The 26,031-nt window shown below is 47.2% G+C and overlaps 1 protein-coding gene and 1 pseudogene across 14 annotated transcripts; one reads left to right on the forward strand and one right to left on the reverse strand.

The window, feature by feature from the left end:
• Positions 3,308–7,004, forward strand: PLA2G10GP (phospholipase A2 group XG, pseudogene; annotated as a pseudogene).
• Positions 7,954–25,976, reverse strand: NPIPA5 (nuclear pore complex interacting protein family member A5). 14 transcript variants are annotated; one of them, XR_932754.4, is made up of 11 exons: positions 25,570–25,976; positions 25,258–25,415; positions 22,417–22,503; positions 18,045–18,173; positions 14,350–14,449; positions 14,042–14,186; positions 10,983–11,090; positions 9,904–9,964; positions 9,759–9,794; positions 8,478–9,262; positions 7,954–8,399 (listed from the first exon to the last, which is right to left on the reverse strand). XR_932754.4 is itself a non-coding variant. In XM_011522336.4 (11 exons), exons 2-10 carry the CDS (start codon positions 25,375–25,377, stop codon positions 9,206–9,208), a joined length of 843 nt encoding a protein of 280 aa, XP_011520638.1. In that variant the 5' UTR covers positions 25,378–25,415; positions 25,570–25,976; the 3' UTR covers positions 7,954–8,399; positions 9,193–9,205. The 14 variants fall into 14 exon arrangements, 13 of the variants coding, with proteins under 13 accessions (XP_011520638.1, XP_047289419.1, XP_024305900.1 ...); XM_011522336.4 differs by having other exon boundaries at positions 9,193–9,262; XM_047433463.1 differs by lacking the exon at positions 8,478–9,262 and having other exon boundaries at positions 25,570–25,647.

Here is a 26,031-nt window from a genome sequence, read left to right on the forward strand (position 1 = left end):
TCTCAAAAGAAGACATTTATGTGGCCAACAAACATGTGAAGAAAAGCTCATCATCACTGGTCATTAGAGAAATGCAAATCATTGTCAGAGTGCTCAGAGAGGGCATGTTCCCTGGGTCTTGGTGGATTTAGAGGTCAAGGGACCATTTCTGGAAGCTCACTGTGTGCCAGGGCAGCTTATATCAGAGCTCCGCTCTTTTTCTTTTTCTTTTTTTTTTTTAAGACAGAGTCTCACTGTTGCCCAGGCTGGAGTGCAGTGGCACCATTTCGGCTCACTGCAACCTCCACCTCCCGGGTCCAAGAGATTCTCCTGCCTCAGCCTCCTGAGTAGCTGGGACTACAGGCATGCACCACCACCACACCTGGCTAATTTTTATATTTTTAGTAGAGACGGGGTTTCACCATGTTAGCAAGGCTGGTCTCGAACTCCTGACCTCAGGTGATCCACCTGCCTTGGCCTCTGAAGGTGCTGAGATTACAGTCATGAGCCACTGCGCTTGGCCAGAGATCTGCTCTGGAAGACCCCCCAGGCTGGAGGGCACTGCCACAAGCAGACAGTATGGCGAGGGTCCCTATGACCACCTGGCAGGCAGGGTGGATTCTGGAGGGAGGTGGCCTGGGAGCAGGCTGAGGATGGGGTGAGGGCATTTGAGCAGCAGAGTGTCTGCGTGACCGGGCATAACTGGAGGGACAGTAAATGACTCTTGTGTGAGAGGATGAGGGAGGGGTGAGAGGGGCTGACTACCCCCAGGACTTGAGGTGCAGTGAGACTCCTTAGCTTTAACCAGACTCATGGGAGCCATGGAGGTTTGAGGCAGAGGTGTGGGCTGCTGGGAGAGTGAGGACTCACCATCCAGAGAGGAAGGTGAAGCTTTCAACTCTAAATGCCGTTTTATTTTCGTGTGTTTTTTTTTTTTTTTTGAGACGGAGTTTCACTCTTATTGCCCAGGCTGGAGTGTGATAGCACGAGCTCGGCTCACTGCAACCTCTGCCTCCCGGGTTCAAGCGATTCTCCTGCCTCACCCTCCCAAGTAGCTGGGATTACAGGCATGCGCCACCATGCGTGGCTAATTTTATATTTTTAGTAGAAACAGGGTTTCTCCGTGTTGGTCAGGCTGGTCTGGAACTCCTGACTTCAGGTGATCCGCCCGCCTTGGCCTCCCAAAGTGCTGGGATTACAGGCATGAGCCACTGTGCCCGGCCCCAAATGTGTTTTACATTTTCTTCCTATTTGATTCATCTTTGTCGTGCAACATAAATATGCTACTTTTCCACTGATAAAAAGACAAAATGGAATTTAAAATTGGCCTGGACTTCTCAAAAAAAGTCAGTGTGATGAAAACATGTTCTAGATAAAACAGAAATGAGACTGGGCATGGTGGCTCATGCCTGGAATCCCAGCGCCTTGGGAGGCCAAGGAAGGAGAATCACTTGAGGCCAGGAGTTTGTGACCAGCCTGGGCAACATAGTGAGACCGCAGATCTACTAAAAATTTAAAAATTAGCTGGGCATGGTGGTGCGTGCCCGTATGTCTGGAGGCTGAGGCAGGAGGATCGCTTGAGCCCAGGATCTGGAGGCTGAGGCAGGAGGATCGCTTGAGCCCAGGATTTGGAGGCTGCAGTGAGCTATGATTGTGCCACTGCACTCCAGTGTGGGTGACAGAGTGAGACCCTGTCTCTATTTAAAAAAAGAGAGACAAGATGATCAGGATGAGCGCAGTGGCTCACGCCTATAATCCCAGCACTTTGGGAGGCCAAAGCAGGTGGATCACATGAGGTCAGGAGTTTGAGACCGGCCCAGCCTAGATGGTGAAACCCCGTTTCTACTAGAAATACAAAAATCAGCTGGGTGTGGTGGGGCACGCCTGTGATCCCAGCTACTCGGGAGACTGAGGCTGGACAATTGCTTGAACCTGGGAGGCAGAAGTTGCTGTGAGCAAGATGACACCACTGTGCTCCAGCCTGGGCAACAGGAATGAGACTCTGTCTCAAACAAAAAAAAAAAAAAAAAAAAAAAAGGGATGATCAAACACAATGCGTCAACCTCCCGGAGCTGTTGTGAGCAAGATGACACCACTGTGCTCCAGCCTGGGCAACAGGAATGAGACTCTGTCTCAAAAAAAAAAAAAAAAGCGATGATCAAACACAATGCATCAACCTCCCGGAGCCGTATAAACCCTAAACCTAAACCAGGAAGCAGGCAAGCCTGTGTGTGAGTTTCCACTCTATTGCTGGTACCACTCGGCTCTGGCAACCTGGAAGGCCACCTTCCCCTGTTGTTACTGTGTAAGGAGGAAGGAGCACTGGTTTGCAAGTCAGAAGCCTGGGTTGAAGCCTCTGCTTGAGTTCCTGCTGGCTGTGGGAATGTGGGGTTACCTTTCCCGGCTGGCCTCGTTTCCTACATGTCCAATGCAGGGGTTCCAGTCACATGCATTGGGCACCATTACATGTCCAAGCTGTGCCAGGATCTAGATAAATGGCTGGGCTCAGTCCAAGGGGCCTTCCTATCTGGCAGTGAAAATAAGAGGAGATACCAAGGGCCCTGAGCCTGAGTCTGGAGGAAAAGTCATGAGCACAGGGCAGTGCCAGGGCCTGGGAGCTGCCACAGAGGAGCCCACCTTGGTGACAGACACCTGTAGGCTCATATGATGCCGAGTGCCCAACACAGGGAACTGGACAAAGGTTTCATGCACGACTCTTTTCCCTCCTTGGCTACCTTGAGGACCTTGATTATAATAGTTAGCCTTTTTTTTTTCTTTTTTTGAGACTCTTGCTCTGTCGCCCAGGTTGGAATGCAGTGGCAAAATCTTGGCTCACTGCAATCTTCGCCTCTCAGGTTCAAGTGACTCTCCTTCCTCAGCCTCCCTAGTAGCTGGGATTACAGGCGTGCACCACTATGCTCGGCTAATTTTTGTATTTTTACTACAGATGGGGTTTCACCATGTTGGCCAGGCTGATCTTGAACTGCTGACCTCAGGTGATCTGCCCGCCTGGGCCTCCCAAAATCTTGGGATTACAGGTGTAAGCCACTGAGCCCAGCCGGATTATAATAGCCTTTTCATGCACCAGGGGCTTTATACTCATTATCTCATTTCATTCATATGAGTTGAAGTCAGCTTATCCCCCATTTCACAGATGAGGAAACCAAGGCCCAGAGAGGTTAGGAATTTGTCCAAGGTCACACAGCCAGGAAGTAGGATTCAAACCCAGACAGCCAGGCTGTAACACCTGGGCTCCTCTCAGGCTCATGCCCTTCCCAGGGGTCTGGGAAGCCCTGACCTGCAGCCTGTCACCTTTGTTTACCCCCCAGCCTCCAGGATATTATGTGTGCACCGGCGTGGGATCCTGGAACTGGCAGGAATTGTGGGTTGTGTTGGTCCCTGAACTCCCATCGCCTATGTGAAATATGGTTGCTTTTGTGGCTTGGGAGGCCATGGCCAGCCCCGCGATGCCATTGACTGGTGAGTGCATGCCTGGGACCAGGCTGCAAAATCCCTCACACTCTGGGGTAGTCAAGGCTTATGAGGAAGTACCCAAAACTGAAGCTGGGGTTTGGTCCAGGGAGATCCCAGTGTGCAGTACTACTTTGCAGGCAGGCAGAGGCCTCTTGGATAACATGGCCAGTGAAGCCAGATCTTGGTACTAGCTGTGCCTTACCCTGGCCATGGGCTGAAAACGTTGCCTTAAAAAATTGGCCAGGAGCGGTGGCTCACTCCTGTAATCCCAGCACTTTGGGAGGCCGAGGCCGGCAGATCACTTGAGGTCAGGAGTTCAAGACCAGCCTGGCCAATATGGTGAAACCCCATCTCTACTAAAAATGCAAAAATTAGCTGTGTGTGGTGGCAGGCGTCTGTAATCTCAGCTACTCGGGAGACTGAGGCAGGAGAATTGCTTGAACCCGGGAGGCGGAGTTTGCAGTGAGTTGAGATTGCACCGCTGTATTCCAACCTGGACAACAGTGCCAAACCCTGTCTCAAAAGAAAAAAATAATAATAATATAAAGTGACCAGGTGTGTTGACTCATGCCTGTAATCCCACCACTTTGGGTCGAGGCAGGAGGATCACTGGAGCCCAGGAGTTTGAAACGAGCCTAGGCAACAGAGTGAGACCCTGTCTCTATATTAAACACACACACACACGCGCGTGCACACACACACACACACACACACACACACACATACAAAGGCAGCCAGACTATGCACTAGGAACTGCCCTGGGAATCCCTTTGTGTTCTCACAACAATCCCATTTCACATGAAGAAACCTAGGCACAGAAATATTCAGTAACGTGTCCAGGTGCGGTGGCTCACGCCTGTAATCCCAGTACTTTGGGAGGCTGAGGCAGGCAGATCACGAGGTCAGGAGTTCGAGACCATCCTGGCCAACATGGTGAAACCCCGTCTCTACTAAAAATACAAAAATTAGCTGTGTGTGGTGGCAGGTGCCTGTAATTCCAGCTACTCAGGAAGCTGAGGCAGGAGAATTGCTTGAACCCGGGAGGCAGAGGTTGCAATGAGCTGAGATCACACCACTGCACTCCAACCTGGGTGACAGAGCAAAACTCCGTCTGAAAAAAAAAAAAAGAAATATTAAGTAACTTGTCTGAGGCCACATAGTTACCAAGACGTGGGAGCTGGGACTTGAACCCAGGCAGTCTGGCTGGATTCATGCCTGCAGCCTCTGCACTCCTGCTACTTACTGTGTGAGAAGCGTCTGTTCTGTGGAAGGTTGTGGGCTGAGATGTTTCCATGACTTCCACTCATTTACCCCCAAGGCTGTTCTTAAAGACGGGCATGACAGTTATGCCCATTTTACAGATGGGGCCCTGAGGCTCACAAGGGCACGCCACTCACCCATTTCCACAAAGCTATAGTTAGTTAGCAGAGGGCAGAATTCGGCCGCCTCTCCCCTAGCTTGAAGGCTGTGATTGACACAGAGGTTTTTTTGTTGTCGTTGCTGTTGTTTGTTCCTTTTTCTTTTTTTTGAGACAGGGTCTTGCTCTGTCATCCCGGCTGGAGCGCAGTGGTGCGATGTCAGCTCACTGCAAATTCTGCCTCCAAGATGCAAATGATTCTCGTGCCTCAGCCTCCCAAGTAGCTAGAATTACAGGTGTGCACTACCACGCCCAGCTGTTTTTTGTAGAGATGGGGTTAGTAGAGATTTGTTTAATAGAGACGGGGTTTCACCATGGTCTCTACTAAACCCTGTCTCTACTAAAAATACAAAAATTACCCAGGCGTGGTGGCACATGCCTGTAGTCCCAGGTACTCAAGAGGCTGAGGCAGGGGAATCACTTGAACCTGGGAGGTGGAGGTTGCAGTGACCCAAAATCATGCACTCTAGCCTGGGGTCTCGCTTTTGCCCAGGTTAGAGTGCAGTGGCACAATCATAGTGGCTCACTGCAGCCTCAAACTCCTGGGCTGAAGGGAATCCTCCCACCTCAGCCTCCCAAGTAGCTAGGACTATAGGCATGTGCCATCATGGCGAGTTAATTTTTTGTGTGTTTTTATTGTCTCGAGACAGAGTCTTGCTCTGTTGCTCAGGCTGGACTGCAATGGCGTGATCCTGGCTCACCGCAACCTCCACCTCCTGGGTTCAAGCAATTCTCCTACCTCAGCCTCCCGAGTAGCTGGGATTACAGGTGCGTGCCACCATGCCTGGCTAATCTTGTATTTTTAGTAGAGACAGGGTTTCGCCATGTTGGTCAGGCTGCTCTCGAACTCCTGACCTCGTGATCCACCTGCCTCGGCCTCTCAAAGTGTTGGGATTACAGGCATGAGCCACTGAGCCTGGCCTGGTGAGCTAATTTTTAAATTTGTTATAGAGACAAGAGTCTCTCTTATGTTGCCCAGGCTGGTCTCGACCCCCTGGCCTCAAGTGATCCTCCCACCTCAGCCTCCCAAAGTGCTGGGATTACAGATGGGTGTCACCGCACCTGGCCTCTGAGGAGGATTTCATTATAAACCTGCCCTGAAGGGAGGGAATCCAATTTTACGAGAGGGTGTAGCCTGGTGAGGCCTGGATGACCTCCGGAGGCAGGGGCTTGTGCCTGGGCTGAGGCCTAAGGGACAATGGGCAGACATGAAGTTGCCCCAGGCAGAGGGTACAGTGTGGGCAAAGTCAGGAAGTGGCAGGGCTTGGATCACTCCAGGAAGAGAGAGGAGTCATGTGTCACAGGAGCTCGAGACCCAGAGAGGGAGGCAGGCAGGCAGGCAGGGACCAAGCTTGGGCACAGCCAGGAAGGCAGAGGGCATGGTGGGGCCAATGGAATCATTACCCAAGACGGGGATTTTCAGGGAAACAGCTTAGATAAGGCCAGGTGTACAGTAGCTCCCACCTGTAATCCCAGCATTTGGGGAGGCTGAGGTAGGAGGACTGCTTGAGCCTGGGAGTTCGAGACCAGCCTAGGCAACATAGTAAGACCCCATATCCATAAAAAATTTAAAAAAGGAGTTTGTGTTCCTGTAGTAGCAGACTTGGGAGGTTGAGGTGGCAGTATCACTTGAGCCCAGGAGTTCAAGGCTAAAGTGAGCTGATTGAGCCATTGCACTCCAGCCTGAGCAACAGAGAGATACGCTGTCTCAAAGGAAATACAAATTAAAAAACCAGCCGGGCATGCTGGCGTGTGCCTGTAGTCTCAGCTACTTGGGACACTGAAGTGGGAGGATCGCTTGAGCCCAGGAGTTCAAGGCTGCCGTGAGCTATGATTGTGCCTCTGCAGTCCAGCCTGGGCGACAGAGAAAGACCCTGTCTCTTAAAAAAAAAAAAAAAAAAAATCTTAGATAAGAGGATGCTGTGCCTCCCTGGGGGTCTTCAGTCACCCATAGTCCTGGCAAGAGAGGAGGGCCAGGAGAGAGCTTCACCCACCTGCTGTCCTGCCCATGTGACATCCGCAGGTGCTGCCATGGCCACGACTGTTGTTACACTCGAGCTGAGGAGGCCGGCTGCAGCCCCAAGACAGAGCGCTACTCCTGGCAGTGCGTCAATCAGAGCGTCCTGTGCGGTGAGTCCCCAGCAGCACCATGCCACCCACCCCGAGTATCCCCTGGGCACCCTGACATAGCCAGATGACTTCCGTGCCCCTGTTGCAATAACCACTGCTTCCAAGTCTCTATAGACCACCCCTTGGGTATATCTAATGTAAGTGATATTTATTTTATTTATTTTTTGAGTCAGTCTCGCTCTGTCACCCAGGCTAGAGTGTGCTGATGTGATCTCGGCTCACTACAACCTCTGCCTCCTGGGTTCAAGCGATTCTCATGCCTCAGCCTCCCAAGTGGCTGGGACTACAGGCATGCACCATCATGCCCAGCTAATTTTTGTATTTTTTCAGTAGAGGTGGGGTTTCACCAAGTTGGCCAGGCTGGTCTCAAACTCCCCACCTCAAGTGCTCTGCCCGCCTCGGCCTCCCAAAGTGCTGGGATTACAGGCATGAGCCGTGGTGTCTGGCCCTAATGTGAGTGATCTTTAACACTGAGCACTTGAAAAAGAAAACCCTGAAGAAACCTAATTCTTTGATGTCTGGATGACAAGGAAGAAGATAGAAATGGCATCAGATAATAAACAGTGTAAATGTTTATCAGAAAGAGGCTGGTGGTCGGGACAAGTAGGAGGATTGCTTGAGTCCAGGAGTGCATCTCTACAAAAAAGTTAAAGGATTTTTTAACATTGGCCAGGCGTGGTGGCACACATCTGTGATCCCAGCTACTTGGGAGGCTGGGGCAGGAGGATTGCTTGAAGCCCAGGAGGTTGAGGCTGCAGTGAGCTGTGATCGAGCCACTGCACTCCAGCCTGGGTGACAGAGCAAACTCCAGTCTCAAAAAAAAAACAAATAATAATATTTTACATAACCAACCACTTCTAAAGATTAAAAAAACCCCTATGATTAAAAACCTCAGGTCCCTCAGGCAATCATACCAGATATTGAAACAAAGCAATAACATAAGGACTGCAGTATTCATTTTATTTTTATATTATTTATTTATTCTTCATTAGTTTCTTGAGATTATCATCCGCTGAGGGTGGAAGGGGAGTGAGCAGACACACTCGGGAGGTGTCTTGAGATTATCATCCGCTGAGGGTGGAGCTGAGGGTGGAAGGGGAGTGAGCAGACACTCGGCAGGTGTCTTGAGATTATCATCCGCTGAGGGTAGAGCTGAGGGTGGAAGGGGAGTGAGCAGACACTCGGGAGGTGTCTTGAGATTATCATCCGCTGAGGGTGGAAGGGGATAGAGCAGACGCTCGGAAGGTGTCTTGAGGCTCAGGGAGTTATCAATTATAGAATGTTGTTGAGTTGGAGGAGGTGGCTGGTGGCCCATCCTGTTTTTTAAAGTTTCAGCTGTGAGGTAGGGCCAGTAGGGCAATCCTGAAGAATGACGATGCTCCACTGCCGCCATTCTGACCTGTAGGGCCAAAGGAGGGAATGTTTTCACACATATTCATTTGATGGACAAAATTACCGCCACCAACACAGTCTGCACCTTCTGTTGCTGGTGATAGATTTTTGCACCTTTCCATCCTCCAGGTTTCAAAATAGCAGTGTCAGTGTCATAATATCACCCTTCCACTGAGTACTGCCGACAACTGGGGGGTAAAGAAAAGTCATTGGGACACACTGTTGTCTCCACATGCCACTGTGTCTGTCTGCAAATGTAGGCAGGCTGGGGTCCTGCCCCAGGGAAGACAGAGTCATAACAGAGTAATAAAGAAGCATGTTTGAGACACAGGAGTGTCTATGTCTATCCTCATTCCTCCCTCACAGCCATCACCAGAGCATGTTTCTTGCACCAGGTCAATAGACAGTAAGAGACAGTAAGAGAGGCATGAAAAGCCCATTGTCCACACATGTTGCAGCTTCTTTTTGGAGAATGTTTTCCAGGCCTTTTATGTTCTGTCTCTGATTCTCAGAACTCTGCAAGGTCAGTGTGACCACCCTGCTCCAAATCTAAGAAAACAGAGGTTTCCAGAGGAAGGAGAAATTGTGCCCAGGGTCACACAGCTTGCAAGAGGCAGAGTGGAAGTTGATTCCAGCTCTGCCTGCAGGACCCTCTCATTTCCCCTCTGTTTCCCTTCTTGACAAAGGATCTTCTTCACTCTGGAGGTGCCACCCATGAGAACAAAGAGCTCTGGAGAGATGTGGATTCCTGAAGAGCTGCAGGGGAACTGGGAGAGGGTTTTCTGACAGAACAATCTTACCTCAAGAAGTCAGTTAGGCATGGCTGTAATATTTCTTTTCACTCCCAGGTAATACCAAATTGTAAGTGCACTAGGACCTAAAGAATACTTTTGTCCATGGAAAAATGAGGTGGGAATTCTAAACAAAGCAAGTTTTAAAACTGTGTTTCACTTCAAGTGTAGAAGTCCCATCGCGTGTAATCATAGGACTCGGCAGCTTTTGAAGGTACAGAGGCCACACAAGAACCAGCTTAGCTGAGCATCATTTAAGGCCTTCATTTGGAATTGTCCCTGTGGGTAATAAGTTACATTCACTCTTCACTAATTTACAGTCAGGGCCCATTTGCTATTACAAATATGGAACCTCTGACACTTAGAATATTAGATGGGGGCCCCACTGGGTGGGGATGAAGGTGTTTTTGCGCAACACGGTTACCAACAGGGATGGGACTGTGATGCTTGTAGGCAGCCTTCCTCTCTGCCATCTCCCTCTGCAGGGCTTGAGCACAGAGCCGTAGGGAGAAAAATGTATCCATGTCCTGACCTGGCAGACTATGTCCAAAAGCAAGGAAAACAAGCAAACTTACCCGGTTGCAAAGAGGCTTTCTTGCAGAAGGGGTGATCTGAAAAAGCCAACACATGAGAAATTGAATGTTGAGAGAGTCTAAGGGCCGTGGCATCATCTGCATCAGCACTGAACTATCCTGCAACTGCGGGGAGGAAGCTCCTTACTTTGCATCTGTAGTAGTCCTCTGCCCGCCGCCGCAACGCTTGCGCACGTTGAAACATTTCCCTATGGATTACAATCACTTTCATCAGATAAAGCACCACTTTCAGGATGATTTTAAATAATCTGCCATGTTTCTGTTATCCTCACAACTGTACCCTTACACAATCTATCTCTACCTAGAAAACGTATTTCAGATGGCTGTAAGAGTACAGTCTGAGCCGGTCACGGTGGCTGACGCCTGTAATCCCAGCACTCTGGGAGGGCGAGGCGGATGGATCACGAGGTCAGGAGATTGAGACCATCCTGGCTAATACGGTGAAACCCCGTCTCTACTAAAAATACAAAAAATTAGGCGGGGGTGGTGGCAGGCACCTGTAATCCCAGCTACTCGGGAGGCTGAGGCAGGGGAATCATTTGAACCTGGGAGGCAGAGGTTGCAATGAGCCAAGATCACGTCATTGCACTCCAGCCTGGGTGACACAGCGAGACTCCATCTCAGAAAAACAAAAACAAAAACAAAAACAAAAAAAACTGTACAGTCTGATCCAAACTGTTGCTGTATTGATTCCTCCTCTTGCTTACTGCCTGCTGACTTCTGAGATGATAGCTTCCTTCCCCATTCTCAGTATATCCCTAATTCATCCTTCATTGAGCATCTTTTATCATAAAGCTGTATTCTCTTTGTATTAATATCTTTACCGTGTTTCACAGGGCAGAAACAGCTGGGCTTATAAACAGGCATAGTCCTTTTGAAGGATGTGGTTGATCCTACAACAACACACTTTCCTAAGGATGACAACAACTCACCCCACCCCTAGAATGGCTGGTATGAACCGAGTTTCCACACAGTCTAGCTGGCAATGGGGTCAGGAGCCGTTTTGCTACTTCACATCTTTTGGTCACTGGTAAATATTAAGGTACTTTGTTTTCTGTTTTGTGAACTCTCTCTCTCTCTCACGATATGTCTTCTGACCATTTGTTTCTATTTCTGCATTTACTGGGTCTAAACATTGTACAAAGGTTAAAAACAACACTCCAATGGGCGTTTCCCAAGAGGGTGGGGTTCAGTTTCTGAACTCACATGTAGGTGTGTATTTCTTTCATATCCAATTTCCCATTTTCCTCTGCCTCTGACACCTGCCTCTCCTTTTCTCCGTGCTCACGTTCTTTCATGCTTAGTTTCCTCAGACTAGAAGGGAGAGAAATGCACACACATGATCCACCAGCCCGTGTGGGATTCCCTCTGCCCTTCTGGCATCTGAAGGCTGTGATTCAAAGATCCCCCCTGCAACCTTCCCACAAATGAACCAACTGATTCTCACAACCGAAGGGAGAATGGACACCTCCCATTGAGGGATAAAAAAAAATCACACTCTGGCCTGCTGGCAAGTCACCTGTCATTTCCAGCTCATCTTCATAGTTCCATAGTTAGTCCTATTCTTTAGTAAATATAAAGACTATTAAAAGCTTCTATGAGGTGCACTATGTGCGTCTCTGGGGTCAGTCTTGTGCTTGACACAGCAAAAGCTCATTTTAGTTCAGTGTGAAAAACCAGACCTCACCAATTCATCACAACTAACTCCATCGGAAGCAGAGGATTGCTCCTCATCTGACTCCTCCTGTGTGAGACTGATTCTCAGTCAGAGGCTGATGCCGGAACTGAGACCATCAGCCATAGAGAGATCCTTCCAGAATATGGTGTCATTAACCCTGCAGTTCACTACTGCACTTTGCCATGATTCAGGACTGGAACTCTTGTCATCGACTTTAAAGATCCTGAAAAGGCAATCTGAATGCTGGGCGCATCTATTGAATTAGAAATGATGGGAATGGCTCCTAAGTCAGGGTGTTATGTCCTGAAAATAGGTGACAACGGCAAACCATCCACCCTGGTGTTGACTGACTTTAACAAGGTTCAGTTCACAGAGATTGAGGGCAGAAAAAGGAAACGGCCTCAAAAGGGTAAGTTTGCTGTGTTGCCCTCACACCACTTGATTCATGGTCGTGATCCTAAGGATCTCACCTGATACTTGGTTTTATAGGAAGGATGTGTAAAATTCCCAGAACGCTAGGAAACAGGGACGAAAACACTTCAAAGAGAAAGTTAATGAACTTGTTTCTGACCACAGGGCATCCTTCAGCACATGCTGTCTGGAGTGGCCTCAAACAAGGAGTGTGTGGTGAGGTGCTGACAATGCAATGGGAGCAGGGTCCTGTCCCCACGCTAAAGAAGCTCACAGTTTAATGCAAATGAGAAGCCAGTGAGGACATCACTACTCCTGCTGTGCACTTGGGAACTAGAAACACAAAACCTGACTCTGGAGGGAAGCTAAGGAAGCATTCTACTCTTGAGTTGACATAAGTGCATCTGAAGCTTCTGATCTCCGATGAGAACAATGGGGGACACCAAACAGAATATAAAACCCATGATTGAATACATCAAATTGCTAACATGGCAGTAAACAGACATGAGGTGAAGATGGAGAAGAAGGAAACCCAGGACGAAAGTCAGCCTCGCATTTGGAACCCATTTCCCTGAGTTTCATTGCTGAATTCCAGAAGGAACTACTGAGATGCAAAGAAGCACAGCAGCTTTTGCACACATGCGTGGGGTTAGATGGAAAACAAGTGGATTGAGGGTCTGCCAATGAAAGCGACCCATACTGAAGTCCACTGGCTCTGGTTGAGACCCAGAAGAGTCATGCATCAGAATAGAGGTGGACAGGAAATACCCTGGCCTTTGTAGGGACTGAGCCTGCACAGACGACCTCAATTGCAGCCTGTATGGAGGACCCCTGACCATCCCCCAGAAGTAGACTCCCATCTCTTCTGCAGCAAGATAACATGCTACTAGGTCTCAGTTCATTGCTAAATATTTTTTAAAAAGTATCTCACATTTAACAAAAAAAGATCAGTCATATGGCAGCAAAATACAATGTAATATGACCAAAACATGAAAGACTGTGAAAATGAATCTGGAGGTGACCCAAGCATTGAATTCAACAATCCAGGCTGGGTGCGGTGGCTCACACTGGGAGGCTGAGGTAGGCAGATCACCTGAGGTCAGGAGTTCAAGACTAGCCTGGCCAACATGGTGAACCCGTCTCTACTAAAAATACAAAAATTGGGCTGGGCACGGTGGCTCACGCCTGTAATCCCAGCACATTGGGAGGCCGAGGTGTGCGGATCATGATGTCAGGAGTTCTAGACCAGCTTGGCCAATATGGTGAAACCCTGCCTCTACTAAAAATACAAAAATTATCTGGGCATGGTGGCATATGCCTGTAGTCCCAGCTACTCAAGAGGCTGAGGGATAAGAATCGTTTGAACCTGGGAGGCGGAGGTTGCAGTGAGCCAAGATCATGCCACTGCACTCTAGCCTGGGTGACAGAGTGAGACTCTGTCTCAAAAAAAAAAAAAAAAAAAAAAAAAAATTGGCCGAATGTGGTGGCACACACCTGTAATCCAAGCTACTCGGGAAGCCGAGGCAGAATTGCTTCAAACTGGGAGGCAGAGGTTGCAGTGAGCCAAGATTGCACCATAGCACTCCAGCCTGGGCGACAGAGCGAGACTCTATCTCAAAATTAAAAAAAAAAAAAAAAGCCTGGGTGTGGTGGCTCATGCCTCTAATCCCAGCACTTTGGGAGGCTGAGGCGGGTGGATTACCTGAGGTCAGAAGTTCGAGACCAGTCTGGACAACATGGTGAAACCCCATCTCTAGTAAAAATACAAAAATTAGCTGGGCGTGGTGGTGGGCACCTGTAATCCCAGCTACTTGGGAGGCTGAGGCAGGAGAATTGCTTGAACCCAAAAGGCAGTGAGCTGAGATTGTGCCATTGCACTACGGCCTGGGCAACAAGAGCAAAGCTCCGTCTCAGGAAAAAAAAAAAAAGAGAGAGAGAAAGGAAAACCAATGCCAGTACTAGCAACTCCTCTTCCCCTGAAAAAATGACAAACAAGATTGTAGGAAGGGAAAGGAATTATACAGCTTAAACTAATGAAGCAGAAAGGACAAACTCAATTTTGAACCCACTGAATTTGCCACAAATATTGTAGAAAATATTCTCAAGGACTTTACAGTTGTCTACTTTGATTGGCACATGGTTCATACAACAGTATTTGTGTCAAGGCACATCTTACTGTTCTTTGGCGGTCTTCCTCTTTCCATTGATTTTGTCATGACGGTTGACTTTTGTTGTCACCTTCATCTTACGGATTTTAGCTCGAACTTTGGTTTCCACCTGTCTCCATAAAGTAAAGATGTCTTCCAGGACAATTTTAATTCCTGGAAAGGAAGAAACTCTTTTCTTTGTGTGCATACAAACGGACCTCAGCCCTTGGTGAGAGTGAGGAGAGGAGAAGGTGAGAAACCTGAGGGCAAGAAGCTGTTCTTTCCCTTTCCAGGGCAAACTCATTTCCACACTATGGGGACTCCAACAGAGCCATACCTTCCTGTCTACGGCAGTTGGACCTCCTGGCTCTCTGCTGTACATCCGTGGATCCATCATGTCCATTTTGAGACGGGAAGATAGTCTTCAGGAAAGACACCTAGGAAATAATAATATAAGAATGACGGCTAGGCACGGTGGCTCATGCGTATAATCCCAGTACTTTGGGAGGCCGAGGCAGGGTGGATCACGGGGTCAGGAGTTCAAGACCAGCCTGGCCAAGATGGTGAAACCCCATCTCTACTAAAAATACAAAAATTAGCCGGGCATGGCAGTGGGCGCCTGTAATCCAAGCTACTCGGGAGGCTGAGGCAGAGAACCGTTTGAAGCTGGGAGGTGGAGGTTGCAGTGAGCCGAGATCACACCACTGCACTCCAGCCTGAGTGACAGAATGAGACTCTGTCACACACACACACACACACACACACACAAACACACAAGAATGACATGAGGCTGGCATGGTGGCTCACTCCTGTAATCCCAGTACTTTGGGAGGCCGAGGCAGGCGGAACACCTGAGGTCGGGAGTTTGAGACCAGCCTCACCAACATGGAGAAACGCTGTCTCTGCTAAAAATACAAAATTAGCCAGGCATGGTGGTGCATGCCTGTAATCCCAGCTAGTCGGGAGGCTGAGGCAGGAGAATCACTTGAACCCAGCAGGAAAAGGTTGTGTTGAGCTGAGATTGTGCCATTGCACTCCAACATGGGCAACAAAATTCAAACTCTGTCTCAAAAAAAAAAAAAAATAGGCCAGGTGCGGTAGCTCACGCCTGTAATCCCAGCACTTTGGGAGGCCGAGGCGGGTGAATCACGGTCCAGAGATGGAGACCATCCTGGGCAACATGGTGAAACCCCGTCTCTACTAAAAATACAAAAATTAGCTGAGCATGGTGGCGCACGCCTGTAGTCCCAGCTACTCCGGAGGCTGAGGCAGGAGAACTGCTTGAACCCAAGAGGCAGAGGTTGCAGTGAGCCAAGATCCCACCACTGCACTCCAGCCTGGTGACAGAGTGAGACTCCGTCTCAAAAAAAAAAAAAAAAATGACATGAATATACTTCACACAACTGAACTGTACACTTCAACATGGTTAGATGGTAATTATCATCTTGTAAGTATTTTACCACAGGTTAACATGTTTCACAACTTGAAAAGGAAGTAATTAATTACCTTCAGCTCTCTGAGTTCTAGAATTTGTAACATTTCACCCCCTGCTCCTTCCTGATCTGCACTGGAGCATCTTTCTTCTGTCCCTGCTCTACTCAGAGTTCACTTTCCCTTCCCTCACATCAGCTTCGTTGAGGCTGGTTTGAACTTAATGCAAAACATTCTCACTAATGATTGAATTCCCACCAAGATTTCCATATTATCACAGTATGCTTTTAATCTTCGAAGATATTAAATATTTGTTCTCATCATAGCTAAAATGCAACGCAAATCCCATCTGAGATGTGGGTCAGATACCTATGAATCTCCTGAGGTAGTCATTGAAATGACTTTTTTCTTGAGACGGAGTGTCAGTCAACCATGCTGAAGTGCAGTGGCGCTACCTTGGCTCACGGCAACCTCCACCTCCCAGATTCAAGCGATTCTTGTGCCTCGGCCTCCCAAGTAGCTGGGATTACAGGTGCCTGCTACCATGCCTGGCTAATTTTTGTCTTTTTAGTAGAGATGGGGTTTCACTATGTTGGCCCATCTGGTCTTGAACTCCTGACCTCAAGTGATCCACCTGCCTCAGCCTCCCAAAGTGCTGGGATTACAGGCATGAGCCACCACACCTGGCCTGAAATAATATCTTTCAAATTCTTTGTAGAATTTGTTTTTTCCTGATTTCTGCACATAGGATAAAAAAAAAATCATGTACTAGGATTTCAAGAGAAGCAATGGGTAATCTAAAAAGATGAAAAGAGCAACCACGTCTATCCCACAGCTACTGCTAGATTTCATAGGAAAGGTAGCTGGCCCAGTTTGGAGCTAGGAGAAATGTCAAACACATGAAGAAATGAGAAGCAAAGAAATGCCATCACACATGAATGCTTCATGACACCCATGATGTCCCTGCTTAGGAGGTAATGACTAGATGACAAGGACAAAGATGAGAGGTACAAAGTTGTCCAAGTCCAACAGCTCAACTGAACTTTCCTAAATGGAATTGTTAAAAAGTGGTAAATTTAAAAACTTCCCCTGGCTCACGTGGTGGCTCACGCTTGTAATCCCAGCACTTTGGGAGGCTGAGGCGGGTGGATCATTTGAGGTCGGGTTTTGAGACTAGCCTGGCCAACATGGTAAAACCCCGACTCTACTAAAAATACACAAATTAGCTGGGCATGGTCGTGGGCACCTGTAATCCCAGCTACTTGAGAGGCTGAGGCAGGGGAATCACTTGAAGCCAGGAGGTGGAGGTTGCAGTGAGCCGAGATCACACCATTATACTCCAGCCTGGGCAACAGAGGGAGACTCCTCTTGGGGGTGAGAAAAGAAAAAAAAAAAAAGCTTCCTCCAATTTATACCAAAAATTCTCTGTTCAGGACTAAGTGGCATAGAGAATGTTAAATGTGCCTAGATATCTTCATAACTCATATATTTTCTGTTTTCTACATATCTTGAAAGGCAGTGCCAAATGACGTGTAATTATCTAGGCAGTAAAACTGAAACATACTTCCTCTTCCCTTGAATATCAAAAAGCATTGTGGTATTAGTACTTTTATCTTGGATCATTGTTCAGAAGGAGGTTCAGCCCCCAGACAACCACATTTTTACTGTCATGAATGGCAAGACAAAATGTAGAGCTCAACTTACCCAAAGGAAAAAAGGCTCAAAAGACAAATTATGGCACAACTTAGCAGCCAAATTCTTACCAAGTACAGACTTTTGACATACGGATCTCTCTCCAGTTGCAAGTGGGAACATGCACTTTGAATGATGTCATTCAAAATTACCCTGCCCAGACACACTTTTCATTGATTCTCTTGGAGGGCAGTTCTAAGAGATTCTCTGGGGCTTTCTCTGCATCATGAGACGCAGTGCAGTTCTGCCCTTCACCTTCCGGCAGTTTGTCACCTCGTCCCTATGACCTCAGAGGAACTTTGTCTCAGGCCAACTGTTTGTTCCTTGGGCTCTTTCATTTCCCCTAAAAATCATTTGCTGCCCCTCTAAATGGCCTACATCTCCATCTATCTCCCTCTACCCTCAGAAGAGGGTGCTCTTTAAGCATCAACCATCCAGCCCTTCTAGCAGTCTCATTTTTCAGCTGGTTCCCATGTTTATGCCTGTTCTATGTTTTTCTTTTCCTGTTAAGCTGTCTGTTGTCAGCTCATTTCTGCAGTGAATCTTCAGAGAGGAGATTGGAAGCTTTCCTTCCACCCATACGATAGAACTATAAAGCAGAAGAGTTTAGAAAGACTTTCCCATTTAAGTGACGAAACCTCATACTCCATTTGTGACAAATAGCACAAAGGTTAAAAAAACTTATTTTTGACCAAAAGCTCTGTTGACATTCTATTAAACACCGACCTATTTAATTTTCATAATGTAAATGGCAGATATTTTCATAATTCTTATGCTAATAAATCATTTCCCTGATTTTTTGGGTAAAACCACATATTCATAATGAAGTCCAGAAACGTGAATTGTTTCATATAATTTATTCTTATTTGTGATTACAAGTATACCTCTACAGAAAGTTAGTATACTCACACAAAGGTAACTTGTGCAGAGGGAGATGGCAAATTTATAACTTCTCAGAAACACAGTAATGATAAGTAACCAAGGACTTCCACCAAAGTCAGTCCCACGATGACGATGGTCAGCCAGAGTATTGATAACCTGGAATAATAATAGTTGAAATAATGAAAAGGTCAATGACACTGACAATATTTCACTCAGAAAGAATCATCCTTAGAAACCGTCAACCTCCTCCAAAAGGTAACCACATCCCTCAGATATCACCGTGGGATTCCACTGCTACAAAAAAGAACAGAAGTTAGAGAAGTCTCATGTTTTTCAGATGGCTGGTAGTGTTTTTAGGCATTGCAAATGTGGGGTGTTGTCTTTCTTGGTATAAAGCAGGGATATCCAATCTTTTGACTTCCCTGCCTATATTAAAAGAAGCAAAGTTGTCTTGAGCCACACATAACATACACTAACACTAACAATAGCTGATGATCTAAAAAAAAAATTTTTTTTTTTTTTTTGAGACAGAGTTCTGCTCCACTCAGTCGCCCAGGCTGGAGTGCAGTGGTGCAATCTCGGCTCACTGCAACCTCCAGCTCCTGGGCTCAAGCCATTCTCCTGCCTCAGCCTCCCGAGCAGCTGAGATTACCGGTCTCTGCCACCATGCCTGACTAATTTTTGTATTTTTAGTAGAGATGAGGTTTCACCATGTTGGCCAGTCTGGCCTTGAACTCCTGACAGGCGATCTGCCTGCCTCGGCCTCCCAAAGTGCTGGGATTACAGGTGTGAGCCACCGTGCCCAGCCATTTTTTTTGTTTTTGTTTGTTGTTTGTTTTTGAGATGGGGTCTCACTCTGTCACCCAGGCTGGAGTGCAGTGGTGTGCTCTCGGCTCACTGCAACCTCTGCCTCTCAGGTTCAAGTGATTCTCCTGCCTCAGCCTCCTGAGTAGCTGGGAGTACAGGTGCCTGACAGTGCACTCAGCAAATTTTTGTATTTTTTGTGGAGATGGGGTTTTGCCATGTTGGCCAGGGTGGTCTCGAACTCCTGACCTCAGGTAATCTGCCCGCCTCAGCCTCCCAAAGTGCTGGGATTACAGGCATGAGCCACTGTACCTGGCCAAAATCTCCTAATGTTTTAAGAAAGTTTACAAATTTGTGTTGAACTGCATTCAAAACTGTCCTGGGCCACATGCAGCCCGTCACTCATGGGTAAGACAAGCTAAGTATAAAGTAATTATCTTATCTTTTATTTTTGTTTTGAGACAAAGTCTTGCTCTGTCACCCAGGCTAGATTGCAGTGGCATGATCTCAGCTCACTGCAACCTCCGCCTCCCGGGTTCAAGTGATTCTCCTGCCTCAGCTACTGAGTAACTGGGATTACAGGCGCCTGCCACCACGCTCGGCTAATTTTTGTCTTTTTAGTAGAAACAGGGTTTCACCATCTTGGCCAGGCTGGTCTCCAACTCCTGACCTCATGATCCACCTGCCTCGGCCTCCCAAAGTGCTGGGAATACAGGTGTGAGCCACTGCACCTGGCCAGTAGTTATCTTTTCTTTAGTTATTTACTTGTTTTTTAAATTGATGTATAACATTGGATGCATTTATTATATATCACATGGTAAAAGAATCCCTCTAAATAATACTTCTCTCTTGGATTATATGAATCTTTGTCATTTAAAGCTCAGCATAAGTAAAAAAAAAAAATACAATGAAGAGATTATTTCATTCACAAATAAGTATCGAATTTTAGTTCTTAAAAAGTAACAAGGTGGGCCGGGCGTGGTGGCTCACGCCTGCAATCCCAGCACTTTGGGAAGCCGAGGTGGGTGGACCACGAGATCAGGAGATTGAGACCATCCTAGCTAACACGGTGAAACCCATCTCTACTAAAAATACAAAAAATTAGCAGGGCATGGTGGCACGCGCCTATAGTTCCAGCTACTTGGGAGGCTGAGGCAGAAGAATCACTTGAACCTGGGAGGTAGAGGTTGCAGTGAGCCAAGATCGCACCACTGCACTTCAGCCTGGGTGACAGAGCGAGACTCTGTCTCAAAAAAAAAAAAAAAAAAATTACCAAGGTGGAGATCATGAAAATGGCATGAATAGTGTGGGATTTCTCTAAGATTGTTGATATTAATTCCATTAGACTCTTATGTGAGTGAAGACAAAGACTTCCCCTGAGTAAGTTCAGACAGCTTGTGATAACATTTCTACATCAATTCCTCAGGATTTAACTATATATTCTTGAAAACATCTCAATTTTAAATGTTTCTTTCAAGATGGTGAATTAAACAGAGATAGCCCTTCAACAGGTTGAACTCAGCATATGCTGAGTCTGAAATGGAAATGATGGAGTTAGAGAAGCATACAACAATGGTAATGATTTCAGAAATACGGTGTTGAGCAGAATAAAGCAGACACAAAAGAGTACCTATGGCATGGCATGCATCTGTATACGTGAAATTCCAGAATAAGCAAGCTAACCTATGATAAGAAAGAGACTGGCTGGGAAGAGTGAGAGTTCACTTTCTGGGGTGACATAATAGTGTAGATCTTGGCTGGGCACGGTGGTTCACGCCTGTAATCCCAACACTTTGGGAGGCCGAGGCGGGCGGATCACCTGAGGTCGGGAGTTCAAAACCAGCCTGACCAACATGGAGAAACCCTATCTCTACTAAAAATAGAAAATTAGCTGGGAGTGGTGGCACATGTCTGTAATCCCAGCCACTCGGGAGGCTGAGGCAGGAGAATCGCTCGAACCTGGGAAGCAGAGGTTGCGGTGAGCTGATATTGGCCCATTGCACTCCAGCCTCAGCAACAAGGGAGAAACTGTCTCAAATAAATAAATAAATAAATAAAATAATGTAGATCTTGAAAGGGGGTTGGTTTATGCTGGTGTATGTACTTTCCAAAGTTAGTAAACTTACACTTAAGGTTATATATTTTGGCCAGGCGCGGTGGCTCACGCCTGTAATCCCAGCACTGGGAGGCTGAGGCAGGCGGATCACGAGGTCAAGACATGGAGACTATCCTGGCGAACATGGTGAAACCCAGTCTCTACTAAAAATACAAAAATTAGCCAGGCGTGGTGGCCTACTAAAAATACAAAAATTAGCCAGGCGTGGTGGTCTACTAAAAATACAAAAATTAGCCAGGCATTGTAATCTGAGCTACTCAGGAGGCTGAGGCAGGACAATTGCTTGAACCCCGGAAGCGGAGGTTGCAGTGAGCCGAGATCTTGCCACTGCACTCCAGCCTGGGCGACAGAGTGAGACTCTGTCTAAAAAACAAACAAACAAAAAAGTCATCAAACCAGATGACACAAATCAAATGACATTTCACTTTGTTTTGGTCCGTTTTGTTTGTTGGAGACAAGAGTGCAGCGGGGCCATCTCGGCTCACTGCAACGTCCAGCTCCTGGGCCCAAGCGATCCTCCCACCTCAGCCTCTCCAGTAACTGGGATAACAGGTACGCACCACCAGGCCCGACTAATCTTTTTTGGAATTTTTTGTAGAGATGGGGTTTCGCTATGATGCCCTGGCTAGTCTTCAACTCCTGGACTCAAGTGATCTGCCCACCTCGGCCCCCTAAAGTGCTGGGATTACAGGCCTGAGCTGTGTAATTTCATGCCGCGTGACACAGCCCAGTAAAAAGGAAGAAACCCCGCGGGTCCAACGTCTACTCACACAGGTGGACTGATGGCTGATAAATCCCAGCAGGAGCCAAAAGAGCAGCCACAGCACCCATCTACTCACACAGGTGGACTGATGGCTGATAAATCCCAGCAGGAGCCAAAAGAGGAGCCAAAAGAGCAGCCACCGCACCCGCATGTCCTGGTCCTTTCAGGGCTCCCTGAGGCAGCCAGGACAGAGGTGGAGGTGGCTTAGGGCAGGGCGGAGGGAAGGGGACGGGGACCGGGGCCGGATCTGAGTTGGGGAGGGGGAGGGGAGGGGGAGGGGAAGGGGAAGGGGAGGGGAAGGGGAGAAGTAAGGGAAGGGAAAGGAGGAGAAGGGGGCTGTTGGGGAGGAGGAGGAGGAGAAGAAAGGGGTCTGGGAAAGGATCCGGTTCAAATTAAGTTCTCAAGCGCTGGTGGAAGGTTTAGCTACAGGTCACGGAGAAGATCAGGGAAGCAACAGGACAGGCGGGGCAAGGGAGCGTGAGGCTTAGGAGCAATTAGGAGACAAAGGTTCTGCTTTCCACCAAACCTTCTTCGGTCTGGGCCCTCCCTTAGCAACCCTGGGGCTTTAGACTCTCTCTCCACCAATCCCTGATGACCCCGGTGGTGCCTCACAATGGACATTCCAAGTAGTGCCCGCATCATCCCAATGACCCCTCCCCCATCTCAGTCCCCCACGCTCCTCCCAAGGCCAGGTCCTCTCTGGAACCTTCACAAACCTGATTTCTGGTCCTCCCCAACCAGCTCCCTGTCCCTGCTTCTGGGCGCTCCTTCCTTCCTGAGCTCCCAGGGTTCCTCAAGGTCACTTTTGGCGACAAAACATAAAAAACAAATGATGGCAGGATGGCAGGAAGAACCTCATACCCAAGCAGAGTGCCAGGTTTTACAGCCTCCGCTCAGCCATTCATATCCTAAGCAACAAAACATCAGCAGGATGCGGAAGGTCCCGATAGTAAACCATCTCCATCACAACCATGTAGCCATCCGTCCATCAACCTGTATCTCAGGAACAAATGTACATACATTCATTTTAAGCATGCATGGTACATTTACAAAAATTAACCTGACTTATTTTGTTCCAGCAAATCTCAATATATTTGAGAGCAATCAAATCACACAGCATGTTTCTGATCATAAAACTGTGCTAGAAGTCAATGATTAAAAGCTAATTCAAAATTATTATTTGCTTGGAAATTCAAAGTGCCCTTATAAGACATAAACATAAGAAAGAATCCAAAATGAAACAAGATTGCCTTTCAACTCAATGATGAGATCATAACATGGCAATAAAATGTCTCCCTCTGGCCTGGGAATTCCTCTTTGTGGCACAAGGTTGCGTGATCTCAAATCACCCCTAACCCACCTAGACATTTTAACATCCGAAACCGAGTGATGATGTCCTTATCTATATTATCTTACTGCCCGTGTGTGTGGACTTTAAATTCTGAACCCAAATGAGGGGGAGAAAACCAAGCTGACTTTCATGACTGGCCTCTCAGGGATGTCCAAGGAATCTGTGCATTTCAAGAAACAAAGCTCATCAGCTTCTCTCCTAAGGTATTTGCCCACAATACCCAGAGGGCTTGGCAGCATCATGTGTGATGGGTGGGGAGCTCCAAGCAGGTGGGCAGGACCCAGGGGCCTGGTGACCAGGACAGACCCCCACTGTCCATCACCTTTCCTGGCCCTGTCCTCAGCTAAACTTCCCACAGGCCTTCTGCCCGATCACACAGAGTGTGCCCAAACTCTCTCAGGCCTCTGGCAGCTGAAAAGCACTGCTTTAAATCCCTTTACCATTTACTATGACATAAGGTTATTGTAAACAGGAAATATTCTATTGATGCTACAAATGGAAAGCCAATGCCTTTACCATAAATAGAAAAACAACCCTAAGAAGCAAGCAAAACAAAAGAAAACAGGGGCTGGGTGTGGTGGCTCACACCTGTAATCCCACCACTTTGGGAGGCCGAGGTGGGCGGATCACAAGGTCAGGAGTTCCAGACCAGCCTGGCCAATATGGTGAAACCCTGTCTCTAATAAAATACAAAAATTAGCCGGGTGTGGTGGTGGGCACCTGTAGTCCCACCTACTTGGGAGGCTGAGGCAGGAGAATAGTTTGAACCCGGGAGGCAGAGTCTGCAGTGAGCCGAGATTGCACCACTGCACTCCAGCCTAGGCGACAGAGCGAGACTCTGTCTCAAAAACAGCAACAACTACAAACAAACAAAAAACAGGGTTAACAAAAGTATGGAATTCAATTCTTTTTATATGCTGCAGCCATGTTCCAGCCCTAGATTTGGCTGGGCATGGTGGCTCACGCCTGTAATCCCAGCACTTTGGGAGGCTGAGGCAGGCGGATCACGAGGTTAGGGGTTGACACGAGCCTGGCCAATATGGTGAAACCCCATCTCTACTAAGAATACAAAAATTAGCTGGGCATGGTGGCGCATACCTGTAGTCCCAGCTACTCAGAGGCTGAGGCAGAGGAATTGCTTGAACCCGGGAGACGGAGGTTGCAGTGAGCCGAGATTGTGCCATTGCACTCCAGCCTGGGGGACAGAGTGAAACTCTGTCTCAAAAAAAAATAAAAAATATATATATATGTGTGTGTGTGTGTCTGTGTGTGTGTGTGTGTGTGTGTGTGTATCTCTATAAATCTCAAAAATAAAAGATCATTTTTGAGATTATCATTTTAAAAGACAAGATAATGTTCAACTTAATGAATAATTTAATTATTACTACTGGACTTTTTGTAGACTGCACAGAGCATTCAAAACAAATGAAGGAGAATAAAAAATATGTATTACATGTTGTAAAATAAATGTGATGTGGTTAATTCTTTTATTCAAAATTATAGAACATATATATGTACTGTAGAATGTATTTCTTATTATGAGTCATGTTAAAAAGTAGTTTAGAAGCTGTTGATTTGAATTTCCTTTTCAAATTTTGCAGGATAATTTTTTTTTTTTTTTGACAGAGTCTCGCTCTGTCGTACAGTCTGGAGTGCAATGGCGTGATCTCGGCCCACTAAAACCTCCACCTCCTGAATTTCAGCAATTCTCCTGTCTCAGCCTCCTGAGTAGCTGGAACTACAGGCTGACACCACCATGCCCGGCTAATTTTTGTATTTTTAGTAGGGACGAGGTTTTGCCATATTGGTCAGGCTGGTCTCGAAGTCCTGGCCTCTGGTGATCCACCAGCCTCAGCCTCCCAAAATGCTGGGATTACAGGCATGAGTCACCATGCCCAGCCTAAACTTGGCAAGATAATAAATAACCTTTTTAAGTGTCGTTGGGCACTTGTCTGGTTGTTTTTCTTTAGGTTACCATGCCAGCAATGATTCCTTTTGAGTTTCTGACAGAAGATAGTGGTTTTCATCCAAATAAGTCAACTACTCTACCCCATCCCTAAGCCACTTGTATGGAAAGAAAAAGAGGAAGAAGCCAGTACTGAGACTGCGTAAGCTTCCCCCAGCATCACCCGCTATGAGATGTGTGGCAGCTGAGACCCGGGAACTGCTCAAGGGCACCAGGCCCCATCTGTCTGCACTCACTCACCTTCCTCAGGTACTCGCATGGGCATGTCACTGACTTTACGTGCTGCTGCAGCTCCTTGGTGAGCTGGCCCTGGTCATGGGACAGGAACCGTGGGGTCAGGACAATAGAGAGCTTCACCATTTGCAGAATGAGAACAGGGGCTCATGATGAGTGCCAACCTATTAGACAATTTTAAAAAAAAAAGTGTTGAATGAGTGGAAAAACAAGGTGATGTTTGAGTCTATAGTGGTCAAGGGCTTCAGAAAAGGACAGAACCAAGTTCAAATTCCTGTACTTTGAATTTCTACTTCATGCCATGCAAAATTACTTTACCCCTTTTAACCTCAGTTTTCTTCTGTGTGAAACAGGAACAATAGTTTCATTCGTCATTCAGTTTCTCTCAAGGTTTCACGAGATCATACCTATAAAACATCCAAGTCATTTAAATGTATCATCATTTCGGTCATAATTAGTGGGATCCATTTCACTATTATTGGATATACAGTTCTGTGCCTGAAACCTACAAAAAAAGAAAATGTTAAGTCTAAAAAGCATTAGTGATTTCTCATTTTTACATTACTAATTATAACCCTGTTTAATCACACAAGGCCTTGTCCGCGGCAGGTGCTCAATAAACACTTGTCGAATCAATGCATGTGGGCTCCGGAGCCACACTGTTTAGATTCTATTCTGCCTCCACCACTTATCAGCTGTGTGATCTGGGTAAGATAATTCACCTCTTTATGTCTGCACTTCCCTCTCCATAAACTATATATAACGAGAATCCTTAGCTCA

The sequence above is a fragment of the Homo sapiens genome, chromosome 16 (genome assembly GCF_000001405.40).
Source record: "Homo sapiens chromosome 16, GRCh38.p14 Primary Assembly".
In the NCBI taxonomy this organism is placed as follows: Eukaryota; Metazoa; Chordata; class Mammalia; order Primates; family Hominidae; genus Homo; species Homo sapiens.

What these genes read in the sequence shown, in the direction of transcription:
- NPIPA5 (XM_047433463.1), bottom strand. Translation starts at nt 25,377, where the DNA reads ATGGTGAAGCTCTCTATTGTCCTGACCCCACGGTTCCTGTCCCATGAC. An exon ending in TCTGCACAAGTTACCTTTGT is followed by an intron (nt 14,450 to 18,044) that starts GTGAGTATACTA and finishes ATTATTTCCTAG; the next exon opens with GTGTCTTTCCTGAAGACTAT. An exon ending in AAAGAAATACACACCTACAT is followed by an intron (nt 9,965 to 10,982) that starts GTGAGTTCAGAA and finishes TGTAATCCATAG; the next exon opens with GGAAATGTTTCAACGTGCGC.